General features: G+C 57.1%; 3 protein-coding genes across 22 annotated transcripts, besides 14 other annotated features; 1 reads left to right on the plus strand and 2 right to left on the minus strand.

Annotated features, from left to right (window-relative positions):
- Positions 1-5,026: 5,026 nt before the first annotated feature.
- On the plus strand, positions 5,027-7,145 carry GPR62 (G protein-coupled receptor 62). Its single transcript, NM_080865.4, has one exon. It carries the CDS (start codon positions 5,299-5,301, stop codon positions 6,403-6,405), a length of 1,107 nt encoding a protein of 368 aa, NP_543141.3. The 5' UTR covers positions 5,027-5,298; the 3' UTR covers positions 6,406-7,145.
- Positions 5,687-6,275: an enhancer, noted in NCBI's record as "H3K27ac-H3K4me1 hESC enhancer chr3:51990057-51990645 (GRCh37/hg19 assembly coordinates)". NCBI's record gives its function as "activates a minimal SCP1, AML or CMV promoter by ChIP-STARR-seq in naive H9 embryonic stem cells {active_cell/tissue: H9 hESC(naive)}" and the evidence as "EXISTENCE:reporter gene assay evidence [ECO:0000049][PMID:30033119]".
- On the minus strand, positions 7,100-17,112 carry PCBP4 (poly(rC) binding protein 4). 18 transcript variants are annotated; one of them, XM_047448614.1, is made up of 15 exons: positions 16,972-17,112; positions 12,456-12,538; positions 11,395-11,734; positions 10,806-10,950; positions 10,656-10,679; positions 10,512-10,544; positions 10,172-10,288; positions 9,835-9,966; positions 9,541-9,669; positions 9,223-9,297; positions 9,013-9,057; positions 8,875-8,938; positions 8,693-8,745; positions 8,436-8,605; positions 7,100-7,995 (listed from the first exon to the last, which is right to left on the minus strand). In XM_047448614.1, exons 3-15 carry the CDS (start codon positions 11,397-11,399, stop codon positions 7,707-7,709), a joined length of 1,281 nt encoding a protein of 426 aa, XP_047304570.1. In that variant the 5' UTR covers positions 11,400-11,734; positions 12,456-12,538; positions 16,972-17,112; the 3' UTR covers positions 7,100-7,706. The 18 variants fall into 18 exon arrangements, with proteins under 18 accessions (XP_047304570.1, XP_047304571.1, XP_047304569.1 ...); XM_047448615.1 differs by having other exon boundaries at positions 16,818-17,100; XM_047448613.1 differs by lacking the exon at positions 16,972-17,112 and adding an exon at positions 15,017-16,922.
- Positions 15,379-15,942: an enhancer, noted in NCBI's record as "H3K4me1 hESC enhancer chr3:51999749-52000312 (GRCh37/hg19 assembly coordinates)". NCBI's record gives its function as "activates a minimal SCP1, AML or CMV promoter by ChIP-STARR-seq in naive H9 embryonic stem cells {active_cell/tissue: H9 hESC(naive)}" and the evidence as "EXISTENCE:reporter gene assay evidence [ECO:0000049][PMID:30033119]".
- Positions 15,943-16,504: an enhancer, noted in NCBI's record as "H3K4me1 hESC enhancer chr3:52000313-52000874 (GRCh37/hg19 assembly coordinates)". NCBI's record gives its function as "activates a minimal SCP1, AML or CMV promoter by ChIP-STARR-seq in naive H9 embryonic stem cells {active_cell/tissue: H9 hESC(naive)}" and the evidence as "EXISTENCE:reporter gene assay evidence [ECO:0000049][PMID:30033119]".
- Positions 16,790-17,059: a silencer, noted in NCBI's record as "silent region_14418". NCBI's record gives its function as "represses an Ori minimal core promoter by ATAC-STARR-seq in GM12878 lymphoblastoid cells {active_cell/tissue: GM12878}" and the evidence as "EXISTENCE:reporter gene assay evidence [ECO:0000049][PMID:35858748]".
- Positions 17,160-17,269: a silencer, noted in NCBI's record as "silent region_14419". NCBI's record gives its function as "represses an Ori minimal core promoter by ATAC-STARR-seq in GM12878 lymphoblastoid cells {active_cell/tissue: GM12878}" and the evidence as "EXISTENCE:reporter gene assay evidence [ECO:0000049][PMID:35858748]".
- Positions 17,280-17,559: a silencer, noted in NCBI's record as "silent region_14420". NCBI's record gives its function as "represses an Ori minimal core promoter by ATAC-STARR-seq in GM12878 lymphoblastoid cells {active_cell/tissue: GM12878}" and the evidence as "EXISTENCE:reporter gene assay evidence [ECO:0000049][PMID:35858748]".
- Positions 17,590-17,669: a silencer, noted in NCBI's record as "silent region_14421". NCBI's record gives its function as "represses an Ori minimal core promoter by ATAC-STARR-seq in GM12878 lymphoblastoid cells {active_cell/tissue: GM12878}" and the evidence as "EXISTENCE:reporter gene assay evidence [ECO:0000049][PMID:35858748]".
- Positions 17,590-18,194: a biological region, named in NCBI's record as "H3K27ac-H3K4me1 hESC enhancer GRCh37_chr3:52002001-52002564".
- Positions 17,631-18,194: an enhancer, noted in NCBI's record as "H3K27ac-H3K4me1 hESC enhancer chr3:52002001-52002564 (GRCh37/hg19 assembly coordinates)". NCBI's record gives its function as "activates a minimal SCP1, AML or CMV promoter by ChIP-STARR-seq in primed H9 embryonic stem cells {active_cell/tissue: H9 hESC(primed)}" and the evidence as "EXISTENCE:reporter gene assay evidence [ECO:0000049][PMID:30033119]".
- Positions 18,156-24,276, minus strand: ABHD14B (abhydrolase domain containing 14B). Of its 3 annotated transcripts, none has more exons than NM_001146314.2 (4): positions 23,611-23,695; positions 21,106-21,344; positions 19,589-19,830; positions 18,161-19,251 (listed from the first exon to the last, which is right to left on the minus strand). In NM_001146314.2, exons 2-4 carry the CDS (start codon positions 21,314-21,316, stop codon positions 19,072-19,074), a joined length of 633 nt encoding a protein of 210 aa, NP_001139786.1. In that variant the 5' UTR covers positions 21,317-21,344; positions 23,611-23,695; the 3' UTR covers positions 18,161-19,071. The 3 variants fall into 3 exon arrangements, with proteins under 3 accessions (NP_001241682.1, NP_001139786.1, NP_116139.1); NM_032750.3 differs by having other exon boundaries at positions 21,106-21,538; NM_001254753.1 differs by lacking the exon at positions 21,106-21,344 and having other exon boundaries at positions 18,156-19,251; positions 23,611-24,276.
- Positions 18,195-18,756: an enhancer, noted in NCBI's record as "H3K27ac-H3K4me1 hESC enhancer chr3:52002565-52003126 (GRCh37/hg19 assembly coordinates)". NCBI's record gives its function as "activates a minimal SCP1, AML or CMV promoter by ChIP-STARR-seq in naive H9 embryonic stem cells {active_cell/tissue: H9 hESC(naive)}" and the evidence as "EXISTENCE:reporter gene assay evidence [ECO:0000049][PMID:30033119]".
- Positions 22,884-23,820: an enhancer, noted in NCBI's record as "H3K27ac-H3K4me1 hESC enhancer chr3:52007254-52008190 (GRCh37/hg19 assembly coordinates)". NCBI's record gives its function as "activates a minimal SCP1, AML or CMV promoter by ChIP-STARR-seq in naive H9 embryonic stem cells {active_cell/tissue: H9 hESC(naive)}" and the evidence as "EXISTENCE:reporter gene assay evidence [ECO:0000049][PMID:30033119]".
- Positions 23,264-23,413: a silencer, noted in NCBI's record as "silent region_14422". NCBI's record gives its function as "represses an Ori minimal core promoter by ATAC-STARR-seq in GM12878 lymphoblastoid cells {active_cell/tissue: GM12878}" and the evidence as "EXISTENCE:reporter gene assay evidence [ECO:0000049][PMID:35858748]".
- Positions 23,634-23,803: a silencer, noted in NCBI's record as "silent region_14423". NCBI's record gives its function as "represses an Ori minimal core promoter by ATAC-STARR-seq in GM12878 lymphoblastoid cells {active_cell/tissue: GM12878}" and the evidence as "EXISTENCE:reporter gene assay evidence [ECO:0000049][PMID:35858748]".
- Positions 23,854-24,033: an enhancer, noted in NCBI's record as "active region_19922". NCBI's record gives its function as "activates an Ori minimal core promoter by ATAC-STARR-seq in GM12878 lymphoblastoid cells {active_cell/tissue: GM12878}" and the evidence as "EXISTENCE:reporter gene assay evidence [ECO:0000049][PMID:35858748]".
- Positions 24,277-24,278: the final 2 nt, after the last annotated feature.

Raw genomic sequence — 24,278 nt, forward strand, 5'->3', positions numbered from 1 at the left:
TGCCCTAGGGAATTCCATCTGTAGGGGCATGGCCCATTCTTGGTGATGTTAATTAATTTTAATCATCCATTAAGGTGATGTCCGCCATGTTTCTCCACGGTGAAGCTACCATTTCTCCCCTTTGTAATTAATCAATAATCTGTGGGGAAATATTGTTGGGTGTAAATGTCCCTTTCCTCATCACCTTTCACCCACTAGCTTTATCCATCGATGATAACTTAACTGAAATCAACTACCTGAATCAATTTTTGCTAAGATAGTTGCAAATGGTAGTTATCTAACTCCATCATTTCTTTTATCTGTATTAGTTTCTGTCTTTATTATCAGTGTAGACTCATGGATTTTTATTTTATTCAGTGAGTTATAATCCATTACTGTCCTCAATTATTTTGATCCTCAAATTGTCCCAGATTTGGCCAGCAGAAGGTCCCTTCCGTGTCCCGATCATTTTTTGAGCACATCCTTTCTCTCTGGCATCACAAGATGTTCCAGGTTCATCTCGTACGAACCGGGAATCAGCCATTTCTCCAAGGAGCCCTGGTTTCCTGGAGCAGGAAATGTTTAGAATCCAAGATCTGGGCAATAGATGTGCTCCTTGGTACTGAGGTGTCATTGCTTTTAAGTCCTTCCAGCAAAGAGAGCTAAGGAATGTGTCTATGTGGCTGGGCGCAGGAGCTCTCACCTGTAATCCCAGCACTTTGGGAGGTCAAAGCCGGAGGATCTCTTGAGCCCAAGAGTTCAAGGCTGCAGTGAGTTATGATTGCAACACTACATTCCAGCCTGGATGACAGACTGAGACCCTGTCTCTAAAAAAATAAAAAAGGAAAAAAAAGGGGGGAGACAGAATATGTATGTGTGAATAAATAGCAAACACATCTCTCTATATCTATTTCTCCAGTTCCAGTCAAACACCACAGAGTTCTTCCATTCTTCCCCAATTCCCTATTTCCTCGATTCTTAAACAGTAAGAACCTGGGTTTCTATCAACATCAATATATCTACTTATTTGCTCAATCCTGCACAAAAAGGAGTTTCAGAATTGCCATACCCATACCCTGTGAAAAACAAACATTCTAAATAGAGCTCAAGATGTATCTGATCTTACTCAGTATTTTTTTTTTTTGTCGTTAGATTGAGGGTCCATGGTCAAAGTAACAGTTTGAATACACGTTCAGATGTTACTTGGATTGGTTCTTTCTCTTCAGTGTGGTTATTTTATTCGTCTGAAATACAGGTAGGCTCAGTCATTTCTGTCTACATTCTTCTTTGTTACTTTATTGTTTTCAATATGTAGAACATTAACATAGTTCCAAAAGGTCCACTCTATGCAAGCTGTGCTCAGAAGAGTCCTTCTATCCCCCACACTCCATTCCTACTCACCTGCTGGAGGGAGCCAGTTTCATTAGTTTCTGGCATATCCTTCCTGTGTTTTTTTTTTTTATTTTGTTTTGTTTTTTGGAAATTTTGCAATACACATACACACATACACATGCTAAGGAAGTGTTTTAATTTTTTATTTATATTAATGATGTCGAAGGGAGCATGAACTCTGCAACCCACCACAGTCCCCACCCCTCCCTATCGCGTTCCCCAGTCCACTTTTCTCATTTGCTGTTCCCACTTGGCCCCACCGAGCTCTCTCCAGGCTCTGGTAACTCAGGGGCTGCCCCAGGCCTACAGGGCTGCCTGGGTAAGGACCAAAACTTCAAAAATCCATCTTCACCTCCTAGAGGCAAATGCCCAAATTCAAGTTGTAGCCAAGGACAGGAAGGGACAGCTGTGTGGACAGAGCTCTAGGAAGCAAAACTCAGCTGTGTGACCTGGGACCCATTTCTCCACTCTACTTTTCTCATCTGAATAATGGAGAACTGCGCTGGAGCCCTTTGAATTCCAGCACAAAATCAGTTAAACCAGGAGGTCCATGTCCTGTCTTCACCATCTAGATCTGCAGCAATGCTGACCGTGTGTCTGTGAGGGGTGCTAGGGCCACAGGCACAAGTGAGGCTCAGATGAGGTCCCTGCTGTCATGGAGCTTACATTCTAGTAAAGCAGGCTCTAAGCAAATGTATGCATAAATATGAAATACCACAGCAGGTAGGGAAAGTGCCGGGAAGAAAAATAAAGCAGGATAAAAGGATTTGAGTGATGGGAAGGTGGAACAATTTTAGAAAAGATGGTCGCAAGCTGGGCGCGATGGCTCATGCCTGTAATCCCAGCACTTTGGGAGGCCGAGGCGGGCGGATCACGATGTCAGGAGATCGAGACCATCCTGGCTAACACGATGAAACCCCGTCTCTACTAAAAATACAAAAAAAAAAAAAAAAATTAGCCGAGCGTGGTGGCGGGCACCTGTAGTGCCAACTACTCGGGACGCTGAGGCAGGAGAATGGCATGAACCCGGGAGGTGGAGCTTGCAGTGAGCTGAGATCGTGCCACTGCACTCCAGCCTGGGCGACAGAGCGAGACCCCGTCCCAAAAAAAAAAAAAAAAAGAAGGCCGGGCATGGTGGCTCATGCCTGTAATCCCAGCACTTTGGGAGGCTGAGGCGGGTGGATCATGAGATCAGGAGATCAAGACCATCCTGGCTAACACGGTGAAACCCCATCTCTACTAAAAAAAAATACAAAAAATTAGCCAGGGTGGTGGCAGGTGCCTGTAGTCCCACCTATGCGGGAGGCTGAGGCAGGAGAATGGTGTGAACTTGGGAGGTGGGGCTTGCAGTGAGCCGAGATGTGCCACTGCACTCCAGCCTGGGAGACAGAGCAAGACTCCGTCTCAAAAAAAAAAAAAGATGGTCGCTGAAGGTCCCTCTAGAGCAGAGACCTGAATCATGTGAGGGAGCAAGCCATGGACAGATCTGCAGCAAGGGTGTTCTTGCAATGGAAACAGCAAATGCAAAGAAACTGGCTTGATGGGCGGAAGGAACAGCAAGCAGACTGCTGTGGCTAGAAATACTGTGGGCAAGGAGGAGGGTGAGCTCAGAAAGGGATGGAAAAGGTAGATAAAAGGGCCTAGCTCCCTTTTATCTGCCTTTTTTTTTTTTAGTTCCAGAGGAGCTGAGATTCTATTCTCATCTATTCTGATGATGGGAAGCTCTTGGAGGGATGAGAGCTGGGTCATGCCCCCATCTGCTTTGTTTTTAGCGGGATCCACTTCAGCCCCTGTGTAGAGAGTGGACTATAGAGTATACGTCAGTTAACAACCAGTCAGCAAAACAGAAATTACCCTAGGTATTTCAGACAAGGGAAATTTGATACAGGGAAAGAATTGAATGACCAAATGGGGGATGATGAGGCAATCCAAAGATGAGCAACAGCCGGAAGTCACTACTACTCTTAAGACTGGAGAGATAAAGGAAGTGAATGGTGCTCTGATGCCAAGAGGCTAGGATCACCCTGCAGGAGCCAGAACCACAGAGGGGGCCACCTGAAGGGAGCCCCTGGCTGAGCTTCAGAGGGAAATAAATCCTGGCTTCTTCCCTCCTCCCATCTGCCAGTCTTCTGCTGGTAACTTTCATTGGCTGAACATACCCAAAGTCAGTTGACAAAGGAGCCTGGGAAATACAGTTCCCAGGAAGGCAGTATAGCACTGGGGAAGAAGGGAATGAATCTGAGGGCAAACAGGCAGATGGCCAGCACAAGGTGCAGGAGCTGAGGCCGGGAGACCAGTTAGAAGGATGCTGAAATGGTCCAGGTGAGAGGTGGTGGTAGCTGGGACCAGCTTGATGGTGATGGTGAGAAATGGCAGGATTCCAGAGACCTCAGCGGACTGGATATAGGGCGTGGGGGAGAGGGAATCATCCTGAGATGGACACTAAGATGGAGAAGATTCTGGGAGGAGCAGGTTGTCGGGGAGGGATCAAGAGTCATGGTTCTGTTTTGGACATAGGAAGTTTGAGATACCCATTAGTGAAAGTCCTGGTGGGGAAATGTTGAAAAGGCAGCTGGATACCCGTGAAAAGAGGAAGAGGCTTCAGATACAAATGCAAGCTATCAGACTATAGATAGGGTTTTGCCATGAAACTGGGTGACTTTGCCTGGGGGCATATGCCCCACGGGAGTTACATGGCTTTCCATGAGCCAACGACATTGGGGTGGGGAACCCTGACATTCACTGATTAGTCAAGACTGGGTTTTGTGCCTAATCAGGAAAATAGAGTGTGGGGATCTTGTTCACCCAAATTTCCTGTCCTGAGAATTGGGGAGGGGTGGTTTCCTAAAGAAAATTCAGGGTGTTTAGCCAGGTGTGGTGGCTCGTGCCTGTAGTTCCAGCTACTCAGGAGGCTGAGGTGGGAGGATCGTTTGAGCCTGGGAGGCAGAGATTACAGTGAGCCAAGATTGTGCCACTGCATTCCAGCCTGGGCAACAGAGACCCTGTCTCAAAAAAAAAAAAAAAGGAAAGAAAATTCAGGGTGCTGTTACCAAAAGGGGACCTGTTTGCTAGCAGCAAAAACAAAAGCAAACAACAGCAACAAAAAACCAAACAGCATCTGCCTGCTAAGGCCTCCTCTCACTCATCTCACACACTATCATGGAGCACCTATTCTCTATGAAGTTAATATTAGCTGAGCACCTACTATGTGCCACGTTCTATGCTTTTCTCTCACTTTTCCAGCCTCCTTTCTTTCTGAGAGAACTAGCCCTCTTGGGGGGCCAGGGCATGCCTAAGGGTCCTCCTGCTTCAGCTTTTGTCTCACTGGTACCTCAGTTTCCCTTTAATATGAGAGCTAAATGCTCATCCCATTGATGAGGATGGGGCAGGACAGGAGATGGGGGGGGCACTTCTCACCACTGAGAAAGGTAGAGCAGGCTCTGGCTGACTCCAAAGCCCACACTCTAACCCTCTCAAGTCTAGGCTCCAAGTCTGTGCCTGCTCTGTCCTCCACCCCTCCACCCTAGAGGCACCCCCAAGCACTTCCACAGCAGAGCCTCCAGCCTTCAGCTGGCAGCTGCTAGGACCCAGGGGGCTGGCGCCAGGCCCTGCCCCTCCCTTGCCAGCCGTGTGTGGCAACATCAGAGTGACAGCCAGTACCATCTCCGACAGGGGCTGAGTTGCTGGAGCTGGGCTGGGGCAGGGGAGAAAGACAGCAGACTCATCCTTGCACCCCTCCATGGGCCTGGCCAAGCCCCCAAGAGGATGGCAGCCTGGGCGTCGGAGCCACCTCCTGGGCAGCCAATGAGGTGAGGGGCCGGAGGAGCAAGGGACAAGAGGAGCAGAGGACAGGTGATGGAAATCCTGCAGCTTTAGGCTCCATTCTGCCATCTACATCCCAGCGCAGGGTGAAGCCTGAGAGCCCAAATGGCCAACTCCACAGGGCTGAACGCCTCAGAAGTCGCAGGCTCGTTGGGGTTGATCCTGGCAGCTGTCGTGGAGGTGGGGGCACTGCTGGGCAACGGCGCGCTGCTGGTCGTGGTGCTGCGCACGCCGGGACTGCGCGACGCGCTCTACCTGGCGCACCTGTGCGTCGTGGACCTGCTGGCGGCCGCCTCCATCATGCCGCTGGGCCTGCTGGCCGCACCGCCGCCCGGGCTGGGCCGCGTGCGCCTGGGCCCCGCGCCATGCCGCGCCGCTCGCTTCCTCTCCGCCGCTCTGCTGCCGGCCTGCACGCTCGGGGTGGCCGCACTTGGCCTGGCACGCTACCGCCTCATCGTGCACCCGCTGCGGCCAGGCTCGCGGCCGCCGCCTGTGCTCGTGCTCACCGCCGTGTGGGCCGCGGCGGGACTGCTGGGCGCGCTCTCCCTGCTCGGCACGCCGCCCGCACCGCCCCCTGCTCCTGCTCGCTGCTCGGTCCTGGCTGGGGGCCTCGGGCCCTTCCGGCCGCTCTGGGCCCTGCTGGCCTTCGCGCTGCCCGCCCTCCTGCTGCTCGGCGCCTACGGCGGCATCTTCGTGGTGGCGCGTCGCGCTGCCCTGAGGCCCCCACGGCCGGCGCGCGGGTCCCGACTCCACTCGGACTCTCTGGATAGCCGCCTTTCCATCTTGCCGCCGCTCCGGCCTCGCCTGCCCGGGGGCAAGGCGGCCCTGGCCCCAGCGCTGGCCGTGGGCCAATTTGCAGCCTGCTGGCTGCCTTATGGCTGCGCGTGCCTGGCGCCCGCAGCGCGGGCCGCGGAAGCCGAAGCGGCTGTCACCTGGGTCGCCTACTCGGCCTTCGCGGCTCACCCCTTCCTGTACGGGCTGCTGCAGCGCCCCGTGCGCTTGGCACTGGGCCGCCTCTCTCGCCGTGCACTGCCTGGACCTGTGCGGGCCTGCACTCCGCAAGCCTGGCACCCGCGGGCACTCTTGCAATGCCTCCAGAGACCCCCAGAGGGCCCTGCCGTAGGCCCTTCTGAGGCTCCAGAACAGACCCCCGAGTTGGCAGGAGGGCGGAGCCCCGCATACCAGGGGCCACCTGAGAGTTCTCTCTCCTGAGCAGGAGAAAGGAGGGTGGTTTCCGTGGGGGCTCATCCAACCCCTGCACAGGTCACAGCAGGTGCCCTGCTGGATATCTGGGTCTGGAACAGGAGGAGAAAGGGTGTCTGCTGCCTGGTGAGGCCCACGGACTTCTGAGAGCCAGGAATCCTGCGGTCTGGGCCCAACACTGCATAGCACTGTGCATAGGCCGACCCTTCCTTAGGCCTCAGCTTTCCCATCTGCACCCTGCAGCATCTCTAAGGGCCCCTCCAGCATAGGTGGTTTGTGAAACTCACAGGTGGTCCCCAGGCCAAGATGGGCAGGTGTCACAAAGAAGAGGGCCCTAAGGGCTCACAACCAAAGTGATCCGCCAAGCAGGGCAGTATCTGGGTTACAGCCACAGCAGGAAGAACCACTGGAGAGACACTCAGAAGGACTTCCCTGACATCTGCACCAAGGAGAGTCTGGACAAAGCTACTGAAACTCCTCCACCTGCTTCTAAAATGCCCAGAAGACAACTGGACCAGTTTGGTATTAGAAGTAGGAGGCTGGACGACTTCACCCCCAAAGGGTCCTGAAGCCCCAGAACTGGCATGTGGAAGGGGCTGAGGCCTAATTGAGGTTGGTGGATTCACACATGGGGGTCCTCCAGGACCTCAGCTGCACCCATTTTCTGGAGGTTTTGCTGCCCACAACACCAGTATTTCACAACTTCCTGGTCGCTGAGAATATTTATTCAAAAACAGGGATTGAAAAAACTGTACAGAGTGTCTGCTGCTGAGAACTGGGCCCCTGCCCCATGCCACTCCCCCAGCTACCTGGCAGTGCCCCCTCTTTGGGGTGCCCCCTGACAAGCCCAGCCAGTTCATTCCAGTCAAAAGGGTATCAGTGGAAGCAGCAAGAAATCTGCAGGTGGTGGGGAGAGAAGCCTGGCCCCAGCTACCCAACGGGCCCTCCTCCCTGACTCCCACAAGGATGCAGTAGGCCAGGAAGCCCTAAGGGATGGGGAGTGCGTGAGTGACACCCGCCATGGTGGGGGCACTAGGGAGTCTCCTGGCTGCTCCCTGTATCCAAGCACAGAGCTGAGGAGGTAGGGCCCCCTGCCCTGGGGCTGCCGCAGCTCAGACCCCTGGGCCAGAAACTGCCCCCACTCTGAGAGAAAGAACTCCCATAGATGGAGGCAGGGTAGGGGGTGCATCCATGCGTCTGGGCGTTAGCGGCGTTTGGGACCCCAGGGTGGAGTCTCCTTGGGCGGGTAGGGTGCAGAGGCAGCCCCCTGCTGGTGGTCCTGCCTGCCCCTGCCTGTACCTCAGCTGGCCTCAGTAGGGGGAGAATTTCTGCCGCTCAGCCTTCTTGCTCCCATTAGCTGCTGCCATCTTGGCAGTGTAGGCCGCCAAGCCCGGCGGCGGCCCTGGGGAAGCAGGTGGTAAAGCCAAGAAGGGCATGGGCTTGAGGCCGATGAAGTTGGAGAGGGAGATGGCATAGGGTGTGCCCAGCAGGCCAGGGGGAGCTGTGGGCAGGGCCGTCAGGGGTGGCGAGAAGGGGGCAGGCAGGTCTGCGGGGGCCGAGCTGGGCGTCCCCCCAGAGGTAGACTTGGCCGTCTCTAGACTGGAGAGAGGGATATAGAGGGGAGACAAAGGGGAAAGTGGGAGTGAGAGAGGGGCAATGAGGGCAGAGATGGGCATGAGATTAGATGAAAGGCAAGAGAGAGGTAGTGAACAGAGAACAATAAGGGGAAGATGGGAAAGGTGGAAGAGGAAGGGAAGAAAGGACAAGCAGATATAGCACGAGGTGCAGGGAGAAATGGGGTGGCCAGAGACCCAGGGAAAAGACACAGCAATGGAGAATGAGAGGTGGATATAGAGGGGGGAGATGGGGCAACAGAGGGTGAATTAGGCAAAGACCATGGGGAATTGGAGTAGGGTTAGGAGAGGCAGAGGTCGGGCCCAGACAGAGAGAGGAGGCCAGCTTCCTCTCCCCACCCCTGCCTTTCTTGGGCACATGAGAACCGTGACCTGCTCCCCCACTGCCGCCCAGCCCGCGCTCACCAGGCAGTGATGAGGTACTGGGCCAGGGCGATGGAGACCGGAGAGCCAGTGATGGTGACATGCCGCTCCCCAGCGCCCTCTGCTTGGTTCCCGATCTTGATATGTGCCCCTGACATCTGCCGGATCTCGCTGATCTTGCTGCCCTGGCGCCCGATCACACAGCCAATCAACTAGAGGGAAGGCAGAATTCAGCCCTGGGTGAGGTCCAGACCCCCAGACCCCCTACCCACCCTCCAGCCATCCCATCCCCTGCTCACATCGTTGGGAACCAAGAACTCCTGTGAGCTGGTCTGTGTGCCGGGATCCAGTCCTGAGGGGGAGAAGAGGGACTGAGTGTGGTTCTGGGCCTTTCCCGCCCCACCATTTCCACTCTCCCTGGAAGGGAGGGGGCTGCCCTCTTAGGACCCTCCCCCTGCCTCCTTGTGCAGGGGTGGCTTACCTGGCACCACGCTGGGTGTGGCAAAGGGGACCGCATGGCTTGAGAGCTGCTGGAGCTTGGTGACCTGTGCCAAAGAGGGGTCAGAGGTCAGAGGAGGCATGGTTCAGGAAGGGGTGCCTTGGGCTATGGGTCACTCACCTCAGCTGGGGTCACAGCCCCATACTGACCCTGGACAGAGAAGCCCTGTGGGGACAAAGTGGATGAAAAGGGGGTTACTGTGACATTGCAGTTCAGCCAGAGTCACTCCTTCCCCCGTCCCTGGACCTCCAATTCCTTCTTCCATCCCCTCCTCTATCTCAATCCCCCTTCTCCAGTAATGTGTCCCACTGCTCCTGTTGTTCCCCTCACCTGGTTGGCAGAGAGAAGAACAGTACCTAGGGAGAGGCTCGGATGGTAGGGGATAGTGGCTCCTTTGGGTGGGGACTGGAAGGCATAAACAGGGCTCTGTCAGGACCCTCTCAGGCTCCGATAACCTCCCCAGCTGCCCAGTGGCCTCAGGCCCCCACCATGACCCCCAGGGAAATGCACATGATCCCTGGAGCTCATCATCCATCCCTGCAGCCCTGCCCTGCCCCACCTGCAGCACAGGCATAGGGTTTGGGGTCCCCGACAAGGCAGACCCAGGGCCCATCTCCTGCCCCCTCTCTCCCTGCCCCAGGGCAGCACCTCCAGGATAACAGCGCAGATCTGGCGCACACACAGGATGATGGCATCAGGCACCCCAGATACCGTAACAGCTCGCTCTGTGGAGTTGGGGAGCAGGTCCCCTGCCACCTGTACCTGGGCACCCGTAGTCTGCAAACAGAGAACAGGGGCCACTTCTGGCTGCTCCCATAACCCAGAAAAGGGCTGCCCAGGCTCAGAGCTCTCTAGGTGGGGAGGACGCCATAAGCCCAACACCCCTCTTACAACTGCTCCCTTGCCCCGGATTCCCTGTGGGTGGTATATCTCGCCCCTCACCTCTCGGATCTCCTTGATCTTGGTGCCAGCCTTCCCAATCAGTGAGCCACACTGACTGGCAGGGATGACAAGGCGCAGGGTCACTGGAGGCCTGGAGACATTTCCACCATTTGCAGGAGCAGCACAAAGGTCCTGGGACAGGGAGACGGTGGGTTGGCCATGCTCGTCCCTGCTATATCTGCCCAGGGGTCAGGAGGGTACCCTTTCCCCAGTCCCACTTCAAGGGAACACTGCCCTGGGCTTGACCTCCCCTCCCACCCATAGCCACTATCTGGAGTCAGAGTTGGGTTCCTCCTGGGGAACCACTCTTGGCGTCCTGCCCTGGCCAGCCACGGACCTCATCCAGTTTGAAAGCAATCATGGAGACTGCATGGAAGACAGCTGCTGTAGACCCGGTGATGGTGGTGATGCGTTCAGGGCAGGAGCCCTCGGAGATGGTGATCCGGGCACTGCTCTGCAGATATAGAATGAGCGCCGGGCAGCGGGGCATCTTCCCTGCTCCCTTGCCGGAACTTGTCTGCCTGCCCCACTCACCAGGCCTGAGGCAAGGCTCAAAACTGCCACCCTCTGGGGGACTCACTGGTCAGCCCAGAAGGAGTGGTTCAGAGAGAAAGTGGGGCAGGGATCTCCCCTCCACATCAGGTGCCCTGGGCTCCTCCCCCAAACTCCATCCTCACCTGCTCCCGGATTCGCTTTACAGTCTCGCCCTTCTGTGGGAGGTACAAAACAGATAATCACTCTTAACTTAGAGGTCACAGCCTCCTTCCCTGGGCTGAAGCCTCAGCTGGAGGGGGATGTACAGAGCAGAGCTAGGCACCTACCTTCCCGATGATGCTGCCCACTTCCTGCGGACAAGACAAGAGCCGTCAGATGGGTGCCAGTGCCCAGGCCCAGCCCCTCCCCACTGGGATACCCAGTGAAACCCAGCCCAGCCCAGCCTTGCCTCGCCTGGCCCTCCACCTCCCGCTCACCTTCCCGTGCATCAGCATCCGCAGCGTGAGGGTGATGCTGAGCTCTGGCTCCTCCTCCAGTCCCCCGTCCGAGCCGCTCATTCTGTCAGGCGAGGCTGGGGCCACAGCGACCTGCGAGTGTGTCCGCGCTGCAACCTGGCCGGCTCTGGCAGGGGCAGCCAAAGAGGGGTTCGAGAGGAGCCCAGTCCACCCTGCCCCTGCCCTTACATGGGGACCCCAGAGCTGGGCTAGTCAAACTCCCAGAGGAAAGAGACTGCATGGACCTTGAGCGCCACACATCACTCTGACCAGGGTGCTTATGTGTGTCTCACGAGCTGTGTAAGCCTGGGGAGCCCATTCAACCCTCTGAGCCTCAGCTTCTCCATCTGTAGAAGGGGATACAAATTCCCATCTCCAAAGAGTGATGAGAATTAAAACAATAAGCACATACATGGTAGGTACCTAGCCTTTCCCTTACCCTGAGACACTAAAAGAAATAATTAACTAGGAAGCCTATGGGAGTCAGGAGGAGAGCCTCCTCCCTGACCTCTTGGAAGAGGTAACCTCTGTGGATGGGGCCCTGAAGGTGGAGTTCAGGCTGAAAGCTTACTCCATATGAGAGGCACTTTCGTCCAGCAGCCAGATGGTGGATGGAGCACAGAAGAGCAGCTGGGGAGGAAGCTGGAGCAGCCATGGGAAGCCTTGAAGGCAGGGAGGCCTCGGGTGTGGTCAGGTCTTGCCACTGCCTGGTAAAGGCTTGAGGCAGGGGTTGAGGGGGGAATTGAGGCACACTCCCACCTACCAAAAGTCACTAGGGCAGAAGCTCACTACAGACACCTCTGGGCAGGGTTCATTCAGCACTGGGCTGCAGTGGGTGGGGCACAGCGTGTCAGGGGACTGGCAGTTCTGCACGTTGGTTTCCAATCTCTCTTCTATGTGCTGGAAATGGCCTTGGGAACAGGAGGTAAGAAGTGTCCAGGCTGGCCACATTCCCAGCCTGGAACACTTTCTACTGTACCAGAAACAAGTCACTTGGGCTCTGAGTCTCAATTTCCTCACTTATAAAATGGAGGGAATACCTCTCCCTGGGACTGCGTGATGGGTAAGAAAAGGATTTGGTGGGCTGCGGGAATGTCAAGGCCATTAACTGATGGAGGAAGGTGGAGCCTGAGATTAGCTGCTGGGATTAGCTCAGTGGCCAGCCCTCCCCACCCGACCCTTTTTCATGCCCCGACTTAATCCTCAACCTTAATCCTGCTTGGAAATCCCTCTCCTTAGGCGTCTGTCTCCTGCCAAGGCTCAGCCTTGATGGGGAGCTCACTGGGGGACCAGAACCCTATGGGGAAAACAGGGAGTGGGACCAACTGGTGCTAAGTCTGGGCCAAGACCAAGCCCTAACACTGCAAATTCCTCATGCCCAGGAGGGTGTGGGGATGAAGGATGAGTGTGCTGAGCTTGGAACACTCCAGAAGTCTCTGGGCGCCTTCCTCCTCAGCCCCCTGCCCCATCCCAACATGACAGGAAAGGGCATGGAGTTCTGTCCAACGCCCTCTTCTGAACTCCCCTTGCTAGACAGAGCTTGAGCACGGAAGGTGAAAGGGGCTCCCAGCCTGGCTCCTTCTCAGAAGTCCCAGCAAGCCACCGTATGGCATAAGGTCTTTGTTTCCTCACCTATCCAACGGAGGTGACACCCTGCTCCCCTGGGTGCAGCTGCTCCTCCTTCCATTTGAGTTCTGCCACAGGGACTCCAGAGGCTGGAGATGAGCAGTGGATGCAGGGACTGTGCTCTCCGAGCATCCTGGCCAGCCTCATGCTGGCTGCCCTTGCTAGACATTCCCCCAGCTGCCTGCACTTCCCCCATCAAAGCACTTGTGATGACGTGCTTGGTTTCTGCTTCTCTGGACAGCCAAGCCCAGGAGCCCCTTGGAGCAGGAGCCAAGGCTGCTGCCTTCTCCTTATGTCCCCAGGGCTCAGTTCAGAGCCAGGCCAGAGAAGGTGCTCAGAACATACTGAGCTCAGCTGGAACTCAGCTAACATACTGGTTAGCTGAGCAGATGAATTCACTACACAGGAGAACCTGATGCCTGGAGAGGATCAGTAACCTGCCCAAGGTCACAGAGAGGTGGGACACAGTGGGACTAGCATTGCTAGTGTGAGGCTATCCAAAGCCCCATCTGCCTCCCCTTTCAGGCTGCTCCTGTCTGGATCTGTTAGTCCTCTTCCTGGAGGGCGGGCTCCTTCGAAAGTGGGGATTGGGCTTCAGTCGTCTCTGAGACCTTTGCCTAGCTAGAAGACAGGGATCCTATTTGGAAAGGACTGACAACTTGTCCAGAGCCTCGGTCTTAAGTTCCAAAATTTTCTGGGGTTCAAGGACCCCCTTGGGATGGTAACCAGTGGGAGACCTGACATTGTCCCCAAACCATCTCCACATGACCTCTTGTGGCTCCAGGAAAAATGGGGCAGGAGGGCTGGAACATGGCCAGAACTAGAGCTTCTGCCATGAAAAGATGCCTGGGTCTCCAGCAGAGACCCACCGCCCCAAGTCCAGTGGGTAACTTTGGCCAGGTCTTCACCTGACCTAAACCCACCTGTATTGTGTTTAGGGGCTGGGGGTAGGGAGAGAGTTGCTGGTCTATCTGCGCCCTTCCTGGTCTGAGAGACTCTCAAGGTCTTTCCCATCTTTAGGCAAGAACAAGGGGTTCTGACCCATGTCTTCCAAATTATTCTCCTAGGGCCCAAGGAACGAGCAGCCCCATGAGGCATCACTGGCTCCCCCTGCCCTCAGTGGGGCTCTAGGGAGTCATTTGCTGCTCCAGCCGGGTGGGCCCTGGGTCTTTGCCGGGCCACCCACGTGGCAGCCACACAACATGCCACAGTGACCTCCAGCTCACCTCCGCGGGTGCCCAGCCCCCTCTGGTCAGCAGGGCTCCCTGGCAGGGCATACCAAGCTCACACCAGGCCTCTGACCTCGGGCATTCCCTCCTGACTCCCAGGCCCCCTCCCCAGCCCCAGTGCCCACTCCTCCTGTCCCTGGCTTTCTGCCACTCAGGCTGGAGGAGGCGGGGGGGTGACAGCTGTGTAAGCGATGGTGGCTGCCCCCTTCCTGCCCCTCCCCCCCAGCTGTCTCTCTCCCATGACAGCTGCCCAATCAAAGGGCTGGGGGCTTAGCCAGCTCACCCCACATGCAGGGATCAAGTGTCCACCCTGCCTTTGTTCTGGAGCAAGAACAATCCGGGGGAGGGGAGGGCTCCTGGGGCCAGGCGATTCAAGTAGACTGGCCCGCCCCTTGGGGGATTCCCTCCGCTCTGCTGGCCAGAATGTCTGGACCAGCTAGGGCCTGTGGACCCACCTGGGCTTCACTCTCCATCTCACATCCCCCCACATCCTCTCAGCACCCCCAGCTCCCCACCTAGCAGCCCCCTTCTCCTATTCCCACTCCCAAAGCAGCCATGCTAGCCACACCCAGTGATGCTGGGGAATGGCTCGGAGCATCCAGGGAGGCAGGGTGTGGTGGGGGTGGACCCTGGGCCACAGCACGTCTGCATCGAGGGCTCCTAACTCTCCTGCCCAATCCCTTCTCTGGAGATGCTCACTCTCCTAACTAGCCAGGCCTTCATAAGAACTGCCCCAGCATCTTGGACACATGTGCCCAGCCTCTTGGCCTCCCAGCCTCCCGGGATAGCCAATCATCTACAGTTGGGAGAGGAGGAGGGGAGTGGGAAGCCTCAGGTGAGCATCCTGGGGTCCACAAGTTCCAGCCTCTGGCTTCTTGATTCAGATCTGCCACATAGACAAAGTGCCAGGAAGGGAAAGGCAGCTCTGACAAGTTGGCAGGTGCCAGAAATGCTACAGCTTCCATACACCATCATTAGGCAGCCCCCAGGAGTCTTCGGAACCAAGGGAAACCAAGTCAAGCCCGGGCCCAGGCTGGGCTCCAGGAGAAAGGCCACAGCCTCATGGTACCCATCCCCTCACTCTCTCATCTACATTGAGAAAGGCCTCTAGCTTCCAATCTCCATGCTGAAAACTGTATGCTTACTCTGCTGCTCAACAGCCACCCATGGCTGCCCAGTCCCCAAAGAATAAAGCCTGAACTCCACAGACAGGCCATCAAGGACCTTCATGATCCAGCCCCTGTCTCTCTTGTCTCATCTCCACCCCATCCTTCACACATGCCAGGCTGCAGAACACACTTAGCACCTCCAGCCCTTCGGGCCTTTCTCCAGGCTTACCTCAGCTCAAAACGCCCATCCTCCCCACTCTCTGTCAAAATCCTTCTCAAACGCCACCTCCTCTGTGAAGCCCTCCGCAGGCTTCCAAGTCAGATGTGATCACTCAGGCCTCTGTGCCCCTCAAAGATGTTGCTGCAACTCAAAGAAGTCCCCGCTGGGCATTTCTGAGCCTGTCTTTCCACTATACACAGAGCTCCAGAAAGAGGAAATTTGAGACAAGACCAGGGTCAGTGTGCAGGGAGAAGAGTTAAGGTTCATGGGGCCTGGGGACATTTGGAACCAAAGATGGGGCTGAGGGTCCCGGAGGAGTAATGAGAGTAGAGTGAGAAGACCCAGACATGAGGGCCAGCCACATGGGCAGAGGTAGGACCTGCCTGGACAGGATTCCTGGTTCCTTTCTCAGCATCCCCAGCCCTACTCCTGCCGTTTTACCAGGACTAGGAGCTCCCTAGGTATGCTGCTGGGGTGGGGGATTTGGGCTGTGCTTTAGGTTTTCAGAGGGTGGGAGCAGAGTGGGTCTCCTCATGGAAGAGGGGGACTGGAAGAAGGGCTGGGGGGTGGGGTACGTTTCACAGAGTCGAGTTGGGCTCAGCCTGTCACAGCTGGAAAGGTCTTACCAATCACAAGAGGGGCTCGCGGCCCAGAGAGGAAGGGAAATGTTTGTAAGGCTACATGGGAGACAACTGGCAGAGCTGGAGAACCCAGGGGTCTACCTGTGCAGCTCAGAGCTCTTTCCTCAAGATGTCAGCGCCACTGGGCAATGGTGATGGAGGCTGGAGGGGCAGCAGTGATGGGAGTAGGGAGGGTGGACAGCCTGTCTGGGGACACAGGGTGGGGCAAGCCAGCCTCCTCGTGGCCTGGGCCTGCCAGGGTGTGTGGGCTGCCTGCTCCCAGCCCCCCACCCTGAGCATGCAAGAAGAACAATCCCCTTGTGTTTGGGCAGCCTGAGCCTGCATGCTGATGAAGGCTAGGGGGTGGGGGCTGGGATGGGGGTGCCCTGGAGGTTGAGGGGGCTCCAGGACCTGGGAAGACCAGGGGATTTTTTCAGATGGGGAAAGAATAGGGTCCCAGGTACTGGTCCTGAGGCAATGAGGGTGACCCAGGGAACAGGGAGGGCAGGAGCTCAGCTCCTAGGGAGTTCATGGATTGTAAGAGCCTTTGTGGCGGAAGGCAAGCCCCTGGGGACACATGTCCTGCTGGTTCAGCACGAACATGAGCATCCTGGGCTTGGTGGGGAGAAAGGAATGCAACTGGCCCTGGGTGCATCATCACCTTGGAGACCACTCCCCTGGGTGCTGGGGCCGGGTGGGGCACTGGGTGCCACAGGTCTCAAGATGGCGGGCCAGGGATAGGGGAGAGAGGAGGCGGGCACCTCCCTCTCCTGGCCAGGCAGGCATGAGGGCCAGGCTGAAGTGAGTAGCAGAGCCTCCCACCCCCACCCCCCAGGACCCCAGCCAAGAAGCTAGGTCAGAGCTGAAGGGCTGAAGAGCTATGGGGCAAGAGGGACCACTCTGAGCCCCCAGCTGTCATCTCCATACACCCCTGGCCTGGAGGTCTGTATCTGGCTCCCCCAACGACTGCGGAGGATGGGAAGGAGTGTGTGCCCAGCCAGGAGCTACAGGGGAGTGGCAAGTGAGGGCAGAGATGGAGCAGAACCAGAACCCAGGGCAGGAGTCAGAGAGAGGAGCAGGCGCAAAGGACAGAAACAGCGAGTGGGATGGGGGCCTCAAATCTGGGATCTAAGGTCCAGGAAGCCCCTCCCTGGTGCCAAGGGCGCCTCTGGCAGACCAGCGCCTCCCACCTGTGCAGGCCTCAGCGGTGTGGGACAGAGAACGTGTTCCTCGCAGTCTCACAAACCTGCGACCCCAACCGAGGGATCTGGGCGCGGGCTCCCTGCCCCCGGGCGAACCCCCAAACTTCGCGGCCCGCCGTGCCCCGCCCGGCCCGCGCCCTACCTCGCTGGGGCTGTCCTGCGGCGGCGGCGGCGGCGGCACGGCGGCTGGGCCGCTCAGTCCCACATTGTCCCCGGGAGAGGCGGCCGCTCACAACTGCGAGTGACATCAGCTGCGAACAATGAGGGGTTTGACAGGCGCGGAGCCCGGCCGGCCCGGAGCCCGGCTCCGCGCCCCCCCCCCACCCCCCGGCCCGCCCGGCCCGGCCCCTCCCCGCCCCCTCCCCGGATCCGATTACAGAGCGGCGGGCCCGCCCCAGCCGCCCCAGTGCCGCAGCCGCCCGCCCCGCCCCGCGCGCCGCGGTGCGCCCCGAGCGGCGGCCGCTTCCTGGAGGGCTCGGGCGACCCTTCCCCTGCCACTCCCAGAGCCCCACGGGTTGGGGGTAGGGGCGTCCGGCCTGAAGCCCGGTCCCCAGCCACGGCCTTCCCCGCACCGCCCGCGCTGCGCCCGGCTCCAAGCCCCTCCGCTCCCGCCAGGCCAGTCCTTCCGGCCCGGGCCGCCCGCCCGGCGCCTCTGCCGAGCCCCCTGCACCCCCATCCCCGCCTTGGCCCCGCCAGCCCCGGCTCCGCCTCGCTCCCGGCCCGCGTCCCTCCGAGCTCCGGCTGGGACCCTGCGCCCCGCCTAGCTCCCGGCTCTGCTCGCTGCGCGCCATCCTCCGCTCGGGCTTGCGCCCACCAAGACCCGCTCTCCTCGGCCACCCACAGCTGCATGGCCCGGCCCTCGTCCGCGCAGGACAGGCTGGAGGAGGGGCCTGAGAGCCGTGTGGCCCTGTGCACCCGATCCTGTGATAACCCCAAATCTACCCCCGGAATTCCTTTTGGGGATAGGGTCGCAAGGAACGGGCTCCGTTGAGTCTTTTACTGGGGAAGGGATACTAGTGGGGGTGATGAACTGTTCTCAAGTCCGCTGGGCACCCCCCGCCCTCGGGGAAGCAACTATTCCTTCCCCCCCACTCCTCCATAATCGGCTCAGCCTGGTCCCACTGACCTCCACCTCCCCCCACAGCTGAGTCTCTTGGCACCTGGGTATGTGTGGGTGGGGAGGGGAATCCAATCTCCCTTCCTCTCCATCTGGCCTGGTGGACAAAGGGCAGGGGGACCATCTGGTCCCGCCGGGGTGGGGGAGGGGCCCACAGTGTTGGTCCCAGGGGTGGGGGAGGGGCGGCGCTCTTTAGAAGCAGGAGCCGGTGGGGTCTAATTGCATCACTTTATTTCACCGACCTCCACTCTGGCTCCCACCCCACAAGCCTCAGAGCAGGAAACAAGCTTGGCTGAGATGCCTCAGGCCTGGTAACCTGAGGTGTAGAGCACCCAGAAGGAAGGGTAAAAGCAGGGGGCAAAGCGGTGGCCCTCCCTTTCTGGGGGTCACTTCTGGGCTGGGGCCAGCTGAAACCTGTGTCCAAGTAGCTTTCAGGGCTGGCCACACCCTAAGCCTTGCAAAAGGGCCTCCTGCAAGGGCTGGCCCATGGGGTCCCCACCTTCCCAGCCAGTGAGGTTAGCATGGTTAGGAGTCCACATGTGTGCAAGTGCTTGTGTGGAGGCTCATGTATGCATGTGTGTATATGCAAAGCTGCACATGACAATGTGCATGCCAGTCCAGAGTTAGATGTACCTATGCAGTTGCCCTCAAGCGAAGGGTCATATTTGGAAACAAGGATGGCTCTAAACATGTAAGCGTGCATGTGGGCATGTATGTATCTGGGGCCTAAGGAGGTGGGGAAGTGGGTGTTGGGGTAAGGGCTGGCCTTCAGGGCATTTGCAGAAGGAGGAGTGGGTGGGAGGGAAAGGCTGGGCAGAGCAGGGGAAGGAGTGAAAGCCAGGCAGGAAAGTGGAAGAACAGGAGAAGCTCATGTAATGGATTACCCTCCACAGGATTATGTTCCTTGATTCCTGAGAGTTTTTTCTCTTGATTTTACCCCCTCAGTCTATCACTGCAAGAGAAAGAGGTAGAAAAGACAAACAGACCACAAAAGACAAGAACCCAGACATATAGACAGACGCACCTGTTGCATGTGCATGAGCCAGAGCCTGGGAGAGAAGAGAGAGCGTGCAAGAGAGAGCTCAGAGCAGGCAGGCAGCCCACCCCCTGCAGCAGTGCTGGGCTTCACTGGAGCCCCTGCAGGAAGTCCAGCAGCCCTGTATGCCACTCCTCTGGTTTGTCCAGGTAACAGGGGTGCCCCGCCCCCTTCATGATCAGCACCCGGTGGTTGGGCAGCTGCTTCAGGTGCTCAAAGCTGGTCTGACCCATGGGGTCCTGGTCTCCATATACAATCAGAGCTGGAGTCTGAGAGGAAGGATAGGGGGGTGGGGCAGAGTCAACAGGGACCTGCCATAGCATCCCCAGCCCTCCCCACTTCAGTCTCTTCCTGGGACCACCCCATATGAGGGAGAGAGACAAGCTGGCCCAGTGGGTGGGGGCACAGATTGGTGTCTGCCCCAGAACACAGTTTAGCACAGGGCTTGGCACAGTAGTCTGCTGAGTAAACCAAAAGGGTGGAGTTGGGTGGTCAGCTCCTCCCAGAAGACACCCCTTGATTATCCAGCCCCCAGATGAGGAAAGCCCAGGGATGCACCCTTCCTTGCTCCTGGCAGGGGCACCTCAGCTTCCCACACAAGGGTACCTTCACACTGGCATAGTTGGCAGCATTGATTTTGTCAGTGCAGATGGGGGCCACTGGCACAAAGCCCGGGAGCTGGGAGCCAGGGGCCGTGAGGAAGGGCAGGGAGTACATGCCACTCAGTGATGGACTGATCACAACCGGGGGGCCCAGCTCCAAGGCATCCACCACAGCCGCCAGGAAGCTGCCAGGGGCCAGCTCCCCAATAGGGGCAGGGGCTGCTGCTTCCTTGGAGTGCCCCAGACCTGCAGGGATTCAGGTGTGAAAGAGACAAGACAAGGGCAGTGAATGGCAAAACAAGGGAGATGGTTGCTCTCTCCAGGAAGCCCTCCTAGGTCAGTTTCTCTGTGGCCAGGTTCCTGTAACACCCAGTGTGCCCACGTTTATTCCTACAGTAGCCTCATTCTATCTTATCGTGCCAAGCATGAGGCACTTCTCTCCACGTCTGTGCCTGTCTCCCCAGCAGTAAGTGTCCTGGAGAGAATCAGGCTCTGAAGCCCAAGAAGTCTGGGTCCAGAACCCAATTCTGCATTTATTGTCTATGTGACCTTGGGTAGGTCCCCCTCAGTCCTCTCTCAGCTGCTCAGTTTCCCCATCTGTTAAAGGGGGATAACAAAAGTATCTGCCATTTAAGATTGTTGTGAAAATTAACTGTGTGAAAGGCACCTGGCCCTGGATTGGGACAAGAGAGGCTCCTGAAGGACAGCAGCTGAGGGGTCGGTTCTGCAGCTCCTCCTCCAGTCATTCAGGCTTCACCAACAAGATTAGCTCCAGACCTTCACCCTGAAGCTCAAGCCAACCCACCATTGGAATCAATCCTGCCTGGGCAGGAGGCTCGCCCTTGAGCCCTGAAACCATACCATCCCTGGCCTGAGGGGGTGGGGCCAGCCATGCTGCTCCTTTCACACCTGGCACCGAGGGTTGGGACCCAGCCATCTGGGTTATGACAGGCAGTCTGGGCACTGATCCCATCTACCCTAGAACCCAGCTCAGGGCTTTGCATGTGGGATCACAAGTGGGGGCCTGGCCACCCACCAGGCCCTGCCTTGTCCCCCAGAAGACTCAGGTCTCACTCCTTAGGGCTTCCAAAAGCCTATGGTTATTATTCAGTCAAAATACTTTACTTCCAATTGGCTGAGCACCGATTACTCTGTGTCAGGTACTAGCCACATACTCACATGGATTATCTCATTCCATTCTCATTAGAGCGAGCCCAAAACATGAGTGTGGTTATCTCCCATTGCAGATGAGGAAACAGAGGCTCAGAGACACTGAGACAATGCCCAGGTAACAGTGAGGAGCAGCTGGGCGGTGAGGACCACATCTGGATCAAGACTGCTCAGAGGCCCTTGCAGTGTGCTTGACCAAACGCTGTCAAGTTCAGGGCCCAGCCTGGCTGGGTCCTCCAGATCCCACCGCCCCCACCCCTGGAGTGGGGAGGGGCTACATGTTATAGGAACCTGGCCCTGTCCCTAATGAGACCTCCCCAAACCCTGCCCAGAAGCCTGCCCCTTAAGTACCTGGCAGGTCAATGGCCACAGCCCGGTAGCCAGCCTGGGCCAGCCTGTGCAGTGTACCCAGGTTCTGCCAGGTCTCGGAGGAGAAGCGAATACCATGCAGCAGCAGTACAGAGAAGCGAGCCTGCCCACTGCCGGGCAGGGCCTCTCGGAAGAAGAGGGCCTGGCCCTGCACCTGGATGGTGCCCTCGCGCTGCTCCACGCTTGCTGCCATGCCTGCTGCTGCTGTGCTGGTGAAGGGCCTGTGGTTCAAAACCACGATGATGAGGGGCCACAGAACACCCTGCCCAGGGTGGCAGTCCCAGAGGAGCAGCAAGGAAGCCTCCAGGAGGTTTCCAGAACTTTAAGAACATGCCTTGGGGTCAGGAGGACATAGGTGTTATTTCTGCCTCTGCCATTTACTTTAGTGTGTAACCTGGGGCCTCAGCTTCTTGATCTGAAATATGGGAACAATAAAGCCAACTTCAAGAATTAGCAATTTAATTAAAAGTTTAAGAAAAATTATCGGCCAGGCATGGTGGCTCACGCCTGTAATCCCAGCACTTTGGGAGGCCGAGGCGGGTGGATCACCTGAGGTCAGGAGTTCAAGACCACCCTGGCCAACATGGTGGAACCCCGTCTCTACTAAAAAGAAAAAAAAATTAGCCAGGTGTGGTGGCACGTGCCTGTAGTCCCAGCTACTCAGCAGGAGAATCGCTTGAACCCGGGAGGCAGAGGTTGCAGTGAGCCGAGATCGTGCCACTGTGCTCCAGCCTGGGTGACAGAGTGAGACTCGGTCACAAAAAAAAAAAAAAAAAAGAGCCAGCTGATGGTCACATGTAACTCTCATTAGGCCAGGCGCGGTGGCACACGCCTGTAATCCCAGCATTTTGGGAGGCCGAGGCGGGCGGATCACCTGAGGTCAGGAGTTCGAGATCTCCCTGATGAACATGCAGAAAGAAACCCCATCTCTACTCAAAATACAAAATTAGCCAGCTGTGGTGGCACACGCCTGTAATCCCAACTACTTGGGAAGCTAAGGCAGTAGAATTGCTTGCACCCAGGAGGCAGAGGTTGCAGTGAGCCGAGAACGCGCCATTGCACTCCAGACTGGGCAACAAGAGAAAAACTCCATCTCAAAAAAACAAAAAACAGAAAAATTATCAGTGGGGGTGCCTGCTGTAAAACCTCAATATGTGGTGGGGCTCCATTACAATTACTGTTCTTATTCTCATCGTTATTATCCTTTTCTATAAATGGGGATAATTCAATAGTACTAGCTCATAGGTGGTTGATAGGATTAAATAAGGCCATGCATGTACCATGCCTAGCACGTAGTAAGGGCTCAGTGCTCAATCAACGGTAAGTTACAGGTCATGAGTTGTCAATGCAGGCCAGAGGGAGCCCAAATTGGGGTAAAAAGCCCATTTTATTTTATTTTATTCTATTTATTTATTTTGGGACAGAGTTTCACTCTTGTTGCCCAGAATGGAGTGCAGTGGCATGATCTCGGCTCACTGCAACCTCCACCTCCTGGGTTCAAGCGATTCTCCTGCCTCAGCCTCCCGAGTAGCTGGGTTTACAGGCGTGCGTCACCATGCCTGGCTAATTTTTTTTTTTTTTTTTTTGAGACGGAGTCTCGCTCTGTCGCCCAGGCTGGAGTGCAATGGCACATCTCCGCTCACTGCAAGCTCCGCCTCCCGGGTTCACGCCATTCTCCTGCCTCAGCCTCCCGGGTAGCTGGGACTACAGGCACGCGCCACCACGCCCGGCTAATTTTTTGTTTTTTTTTTTTTAGTACAGACGGGGTTTCGCCGTGTTAGCCAGGGTGGTCTCGATCTCCTGACCTCGTGATCCGCCCGCCTCAGCCTCCCAAAGTGCTGGGATTACAGGCGTGAGCCACCGTGCACGGCCTAATTTTTATATTTTTAGTAGAAACGGGGTTTCATCATGTTGGCCGAGCTGGTCCGGAACTCCTGACCTCAAGTGATCCACCCACCTTGGCCTCCCAAAGTGCTGGGATTACAGGCGTGAGCCACCGCGCCGGAACTAAAAGCCCATTTTCTTCGGTTTTTTTTTTTTTCTTTTTTTTTTTTTTAAGAGAAGATGTCTCGCTCTGTCGTCCAGGCTGGAGTGCAGTGGCGCAATCATGGATCACTGCAGCCTTGACCTTCCTGGGCTCAAGTGATCCTCCCGGCTCACCCCCAGTAGCTGGAACCACAGGCGCGCTTCCACACCGGAAAGCCCATTTTCTAGAGGCGGAAACCGAAGCGCCCAGTGGGAAAGGCGACCCGCCGGGGATGCGGGGTGCTCAACGCGCTGCCACCTGGGGCCCAACGCGTTGACCTCGCGGTCAGGTTGCTTCCGCGGACTACGGTTCTGGCTCGCTAGCTCTGGAAGGGAGCACCGGGAGGGAATGGTGGCAACTCCCAAGGAGGGGACCCAGGGATCCGAGAAAGGAAGACTTGGGGTAGGTGGGGTTGGATTTTGACTGGAGAGAAGAAAGGGTCAGGAGTGCAGGGCGGGTACCTGGGGAGCTGCGTGGACTCGCGCAGACGGGAAGCAGGCGCGTGCTGGCGGTGACCTGGGGCCGGAGGAGGAACGCTGGGAAGAGGCCGGGCCCCATCCAGCGGGGGCGGGGACTGGGCCGTGCTCCGGGGCGCCCTCTTGTGGCCACAAGCTCGCAGCGTCCATAGACTCCGCTAAACTCGTTCTCACAGCGGCGTCAGTTTCCCAAAGCCTCTCGGTCTCACATGCCCCAAACGCGGTGCTGAGCACGGTTTCGAACTCTTCAGCGACCTGCCCCACATGGACATGGAGCAGTCTGAGGAGGAAAGTTCCTTCGGGATCGCATCCTTGCTGCTGTCTTCCTGCTCCCCATCCCCCTTATCCCCAGCTTGAACTGCCCAGGGCAACTTGTTGGCCTGGCACGGAGTTGAGGCCCGACAGGTTTGAGTGCGAGGCTCCGCCAGTGTCCAGCCAAGTGGCCTTGATCGTTTTCCCAATGCCCCCGAGCCTGTTTCCTGCCAGTAGAGCGGGTCAGATGTTGCCAACCTCTGCAGAGTAGCAATAAGCAGTAAACGCCACGCTCTGCACAGCCTCCCAGTGCTGGGCCTGGTCGCCACGCGGAGCCTTGGGCTGGGACAGGCCAGACGTTGGTAACACATCGCCAACCAGGGCAGGCGCCATGAGTAGAC

This window comes from Homo sapiens, chromosome 3 (genome assembly GCF_000001405.40).
Source record: "Homo sapiens chromosome 3, GRCh38.p14 Primary Assembly".
NCBI classification, from domain to species: Eukaryota; Metazoa; Chordata; class Mammalia; order Primates; family Hominidae; genus Homo; species Homo sapiens.

Excerpts from the sequence above, each read along its gene's own strand:
- ABHD14B (NM_001146314.2), bottom strand. The coding sequence starts at position 21,316 with ATGGCAGCAAGCGTGGAGCAGCGCGAGGGCACCATCCAGGTGCAGGGC. Across the intron at positions 19,831-21,105 it reads TGTGGCCATTGACCTGCCAG|GTCTGGGGCACTCCAAGGAA; the intron begins GTACTTAAGGGG and ends GAATCCCTGCAG. Across the intron at positions 19,252-19,588 it reads CCAACTATGCCAGTGTGAAG|ACTCCAGCTCTGATTGTATA; the intron begins GTACCCTTGTGT and ends CCTTCCTCTCAG.
- GPR62 (NM_080865.4), top strand. The coding sequence starts at position 5,299 with ATGGCCAACTCCACAGGGCTGAACGCCTCAGAAGTCGCAGGCTCGTTG.
- PCBP4 (XM_047448612.1), bottom strand. Across the intron at positions 10,545-10,655 it reads TGGGCAGCATCATCGGGAAG|AAGGGCGAGACTGTAAAGCG; the intron begins GTAGGTGCCTAG and ends TACCTCCCACAG. Across the intron at positions 8,746-8,874 it reads CACACCCAGCGTGGTGCCAG|GACTGGATCCCGGCACACAG; the intron begins GTAAGCCACCCC and ends TCTCCCCCTCAG.